A 6247-nucleotide genomic window follows, 5' to 3' on the forward strand; every position below is an offset into this window, starting at 1 on the left:
AGACATTTAGTGAAGGAAGTGATGTTTAAAATGGCTCTTAAAGGAGATCCGGAGACTGACAAGTGGAGCAAGGGGCAGTGGGTGCAGGTGTGCCTGGTATGAGGTGTTGAGCATTAGGACTGAGGGCTGGTACGAGCAGAGGGGAAGATATTGGTAGTAAAGGGAAGAGAGAGAGTTTCTTAGAAGAGTAAATGGATTGTGAGCTAGTACCTGGATGAGGGGGAGGGGCATTGTGTTCTAACTCACAGATTGCCAGAACCCATTTAGAGTTGGAAGGGGCCTCAGAAATCAAAAAAAGGGGATGAAGAATAAGAAGAGAAGAAACGAGAAGGAGGAGAATAGAAAGAAGTAAAATAATAATAAGGAGAAGAAACAAAGTAAGCTTAATCCTTTAATAGAATTCACCTTTACAATTTCATTTCATATTAACATTATTTCAGCAAAAATATGTTTCTGTTAATATGAAATTCACCTAACTTTATTATACTTTTGGATACTAGGTACCTCCCTAAAGGCATATAAATCATTTCACATTTAACATTGTGAAGCAATGATCATTACACATTTAAAACTCAACAGTTAGTAAAGTTCCAACAATTTATACCCTTAGTGCTCATGGTTAAATGTGTATCGTAGCAACTGAAAATCACAAACCTATTTTCTTATTTATAATTGCTGAACAGTGGTTCATGTCACGGATTTCTTCTGCTGATAATTATTTAGTACCGTCGATAGGACATAGTGGAAGTAAATATTTTAAAATACAGTAACGTATTTCTTTCCCAGAGTTATCCTAGCATTACATAGCTCTATATCTCCCAAAACTTCTCCAACACATTTACAAAAAGCTTTGAGAGAGAACAGAAGAAAAACTGATTCTCATTACTCTTTTGAAGTTCAATCTAAAAACAAAAGATGAGTCAGAAATAACTTATTTCTGAGCCAGCTTCCTATCATCATTAATGAAGTTATCTTTGTCTCCATGAGTTAATAGTTCATTATTCTGATTTAATAAAGAAAGTTGATGGTTTTAAAGACACTGTTTTCATTTCAGGCTAGTAAAAAGTAGATAATAAATTATCAATAGACCACAAAAATGAATGTATAAATCTACTGTGCTGTTTTTATTGTGCTTTAGACTCCTTAAATTCCTGATGTATTAATTATGAATTGCATAAATTCATTAAAATATTTGTCTAGGCTTTGAAATTAAATTAACAATGTAAAATAAACTGATTTTGCTGTTTTTAATTTGAAGTGAATCTATTTTTTTAATATTAAGTAAGATTTTGTTAAATGTATCAATTTACAAAGAAAATCTAGAAATAGACTTTAGTAAAGTTTTGAAATCATGATTTTTATCAACTTTTTTTGGATTGTATTTACAAAATACTTCTTGATAAAATATAAAGTAAGTGTTTCTGTACGAAGACTGAAGAGTAGCAATCATTCCCCCTTTTGTACATCTTTGAACTTTTGCAAAATCTCCTTTGATTTTGTCCTTTAGAGCCACCATTCGGTCAGTTTAACTGTCTTGGTGCTACATTTTTCTATCTAATATAATAGGTTCACTTCTATTACTTGAATTGGGCAGAAACAACTGAGTATACAGATAATAATATATTATTCCTATGAATTCAAAGGATAGGTATCATTTATATAATAATTCAAAAAAATAATATCTCAGACAGAATAACCTTCAGTCACTCTTGTTATATATTGTGAGTTTTAGGCTTTCTTTTTAATTGTTTATGTTTACATATTAAAACCTTTCTGAAAAACAGGTGCAGGGAATCAAATTCTTTGTTCCAAATTTTGTATTCCATTTGCCCTTTTATTCTTTATTTAAGATACATGCCTCCTGCACAATTGTATGGAAAACCCACAGGCCTCTTGATCAACTCCTTCGTAGATATTTTAAGCAGGAAACTTCCATGGTATGAGTGTGCACTCAAAAAGACGATTTCATCCTAAAACTAAGATTTTGTTTCTAAAGTATTTATCACAGTGTCTGTAGGGTATAAATACACAGTTGTCCCTTTTGCTTTATAGGCTTTTTGTAATTTGTTACATGTTATAATTAATTACAGATAAATTATAATTCCTTAGTGGAAGTTTTCCTTGGAATTGTAGAAATAAAGCATAGCAAGCTTGCTTACATTTTGTGATAATATATTCATTTAATACCATGAATAATCCAAAGAGTTAATATTATTTGTTAAGTAGAACAGTTAGCATATCACATCGAACTCATAGACTACTCATGAAACTCAGAGGATGAATCCTTCAACTTATGAAAAATAATTGGTTTTATTTTAGAAAATCTACCCTCGTAAATCTAACCAGTAGAGTTATTATTGCATATTGAATTGTCAACTAACTCTAAAACGATAAAACGTAAAGGTAATATAAAAGCAGATTTTTTTTATTATACTTTAAGTTCTAGGGTACATGTGCATGAAGGTTTGTTACATATGTATACATGTGCCATGTTGGTGTGCTGCACCCATTAACTCGTCATTTACATTAGGTATATCTCCTAATTAAAAGCAGATTTTTAAAGTCAGTCAACCATGTGTTTAATACTATGCTGCCTCCTCTGGAAAACATGAAAAGTTGCGATCTCATTTAAGAGTTAAGTTGTATGCAGTGAAAATAAGCAGATAATAATATATGAGAGTATAACTTCAGGTGCTAAATTTTGTGTAACAGGTTGTCGGTTATAAAATAATTGTACTGAAAAAAGATGATAAAGGTGATGTGTAGGAAAATGAAATAGTTATTTAAGATTTCTCAGAAAATAAGTGTGAGGGTTAGGATCAAATTTTATTAAGTCCCTTCATTTTCAGTCTTGCCAATATGCCAGACTGTTTTTATTTTTTTAGAAATATAAATTCAAACAATAGTATGCATATTCTGTGGACTATGTCTGGTTGACTCCAAAGAAGAGATAGCACATTTACAGGACTGCAAAGGATGGGAATGATGACTTATTAGCCTAATTCACATTCTGTGTAAGTCATAAGGAAGGCTAATTGTTGTTCATATGTTTACATATTCTCCTTTGAGAGTCACCTAAGGCAACAAATGGACTATTTTTTTCCTTTGTTTTGGTGTTATTCATCTTAGTGATACAAAACGATTTTTATTACTTCTAAATGCAATGTTTATACAGAGAGTTTGCAAATGATCATAATCTCTTTTATTATGTGGGTCACGTGATGACGATTTTAGGTCTCTGTTTTATAATAGTTTGTGCACAGGTTTCTCCTAAAGTATAAAGTCTGATTAATGACTAGAACATAGACTATTATTATTGAGCATTTACCATATACATCACATGTAAGCACCTCAGTTCTACCTCCCAACACTAAAGAGCTATATCAACGTGCACACAAGAGCTATAAGGCAGAAAGTCTTCCCTTCCAGGAATCACACTCTGCTAGTCAATGTGACCATTCACAACAACACTTAGATGTGCTTCTTTAAACATCCTACAGAACATCTCTGCTTCAGTTTCCTCCTCTGTTGACTAGACATAAGACCACTTGCTGATAAAGGGCAAAACAAAAACAAAAACAAAAAAACACACATGTGAAGACTAGTAGGAAGATAGACTATTAAGCTACTCCTACAGGTTTGAAACTTCGGCTGATTCATTTTATTGCTATCTTTATTTATATAAGCTATATGTCTAAAATCAACAATATGTTAGTTATTGGTATGAGGTAGCATTCCATAATCCATAAAGATTAAGGTCTTCTACAGTGTAATATACTGTTGCCAAAGGGAGTGTCTGAAAACATAAAACTGATCATATCATCTCTATGTTACAAATACTTTAATAGCTCTTCTTAGCCTAAAAGAACAATTCTAATCTCCCAATCAGGATGTGTAAGGGCCTTCTAAAAATGAATTCTAACTTCATTTATAATTTTATTTTCTACCACATCTCCAGGTACATGCCGAGTTCCGCTCACACTAGATTATTTGTAGCTCCTAACCCAACACATTTATTCCTTCACTTACATTTCTGAATTCCAAGAGATAGGAGATTATGATGTAATTGTTTTCTTCAGCCGCCTGAGCAATTCATGGATATACAAGACTTTAAGTCCTTGTTGCATGAACTCATAGTGTTTGGAGCTCATAAAGCAGCATCACATACATCATCTCATTTAATTCTCAACATTGTGAGTTGAGAGGGCAGGAATTATATTTTGCAAGAAACTGAGGTCGCTGGGGAGTAACTAGCTCACTTGAAATCTCAAAGCTGGTGAGTGGTGTAACCAGGGTTCTGCCACCTTTTCATTAATCCCAATGCATTTTTCATTAACACTCATTTGTATTAATAACAAAATGCAAAAATAGAAAAGTCTTTAATACTAAAATTTTTTTAGATCATTCTGCTTATTTTAGATACTAATCTTACTGCTAAGGGGATATTCTAAACATAGATAACTTTGTGTTGGATAATATACTTCAAACAATAATGAGCTTTTTCTGGTGTTTGAACCAACACCGACAAATTCAGCAATGTGTCAATGAAGCTATTAGTGCAGCACTTTTACTTATTCCCAGCTAAGCTTATGATAAGTACAAATAAATTGCCATTCATTATGGCAAAAAGAAAATTGATGTGTGATATAAAGTGTCAGGTGGAATGTGGAATACTTCTTTTTGTCCTAAATTATATTTTCATATATTTTTCAGAAGATTCATGGAGTTGATTTTCAGGGCACTTGCTTACACAATCCCACCTGTGAACAATCGTTTCTTACCTTAATGTGTCCATAACATGTGACTAGTATGATATCACTGGATATTGGGACATGATGGTTAATTTTGTATGTCAACTTGACTGGGCTATGGGGTGCCCAAATATTTCATCAGACATTTTTTTCTGGGTGTGTCTGTAGGAATGTTTTTGGTTGAGATTAACAACTGAATCAATAGACTGAGTAAAGCAAAGTAGATTGACCTCTTTTTTGTGGGTGACCCTCATCCAATCAGTTGAAGACCTGAATAGAACCAAAAGGCTGACCTTCCATGAGTATGGGCAAACTCTTCCTATCTGACAGCTTGAGCTGGGACATTGGCCTTTTATTGCTTTCAGAATCTAAATGAAACATGGGCTCTTCTTGGTTCTCAAGCCTGCTGGCTTTTAGACTGGAACTTTACGCCATTGACTTTCTTGGTTCTCTGGACTTCAGGCTTGGACTAGAAGTACACCATCAACTCAACTCTCTTGAGTCTCCAGCTTGCCAACTGCTGCTCGTAGGATTTCTCAGCTTCCATAATTGTGTGAGCCAATTCCTTATAATACATGATGTGTTCGTTCGTTCTTTCTTTCTTTCTTTCTTTCTTTCTTTCTTTCTTTCTTTCTTTCTTTCTTTTTTTCTTTCTTTCTTCTTTTTCTTTCTTTCTTTTTCTTTCTCTCTTTCTTTTCTTTTCTTTTCTTCTTTTCTTTCTTTCTCTCTCTCTGTCTCTGTCTCGTGTGTGTGTGTGTATACCCCACCCCCCCCAACACACGCACACATATTCTGCATTCTATTGGTTCTTCTTCTCTGGAGCCCTGACCAGCACAGGGGCTCACTGTTATTATGTTTTACTCCTAAATAGTTTCTTTTCTTGCTCTTTCCTTGCAGTTCTAATTGCCTTGCTCTTTCCTTGTAGTGCTCTTTCCTTGCAGAGGAAGCATAAACACAAGAGTTGAAAACATAGTGGGACTTTATGATAGCTGGGCAAATTTGGGAAAAAACTTTCCCCCTGAGTTCAGAACTCTTATTTTTTCCCACCAGTCAATTCTTATCTAGAGTGTTCCGTAACGCTGGTGTATTAGTTTCTTAGGACTGCCATAACAGAGTATCACAAACAAAATTGCTTGAAACAATAGAATCTTGTTGTCTCACAGTTCTGGAAGTGAAAACTCTGAAATCAAGCGTCAGCAATGTCATGCTGTCTCAGAAACCCATGGAGGAATCCTCGCTTACCTCTTCCCAGCTTCTGGTAATGTCTGTCAATCTTTGACATTCTTTTTACACTACATAATTCTAATTTCTGCCTTCATCTAAACATAGTATACTCCCTATATATCTCTGTCTTCTCATGACCATTTGCAGAGAGAGAGAGTAGTGAATGTGACAACTGTTTCTACTTAACTAATTTTGAGTTACTATGAGGATAAACTGAAAACTAATTTAAAGTGTTCCCAAAGTGTTTAGCATACAATAACAAGATGTCTATA

At 33.8% G+C, this 6247-nt stretch overlaps 1 annotated feature.

Annotated features, from left to right (window-relative positions):
* Positions 5067-5267: a silencer, noted in NCBI's record as "peak2084 fragment used in MPRA reporter construct". NCBI's record gives its function as "represses an SCP1 promoter by STARR-seq MPRAs in K562 erythroleukemia cells {active_cell/tissue: K562}" and the evidence as "EXISTENCE:reporter gene assay evidence [ECO:0000049][PMID:32103011]".

The sequence above is a fragment of the Homo sapiens genome, chromosome 13 (genome assembly GCF_000001405.40).
Source record: "Homo sapiens chromosome 13, GRCh38.p14 Primary Assembly".
In the NCBI taxonomy this organism is placed as follows: Eukaryota; Metazoa; Chordata; class Mammalia; order Primates; family Hominidae; genus Homo; species Homo sapiens.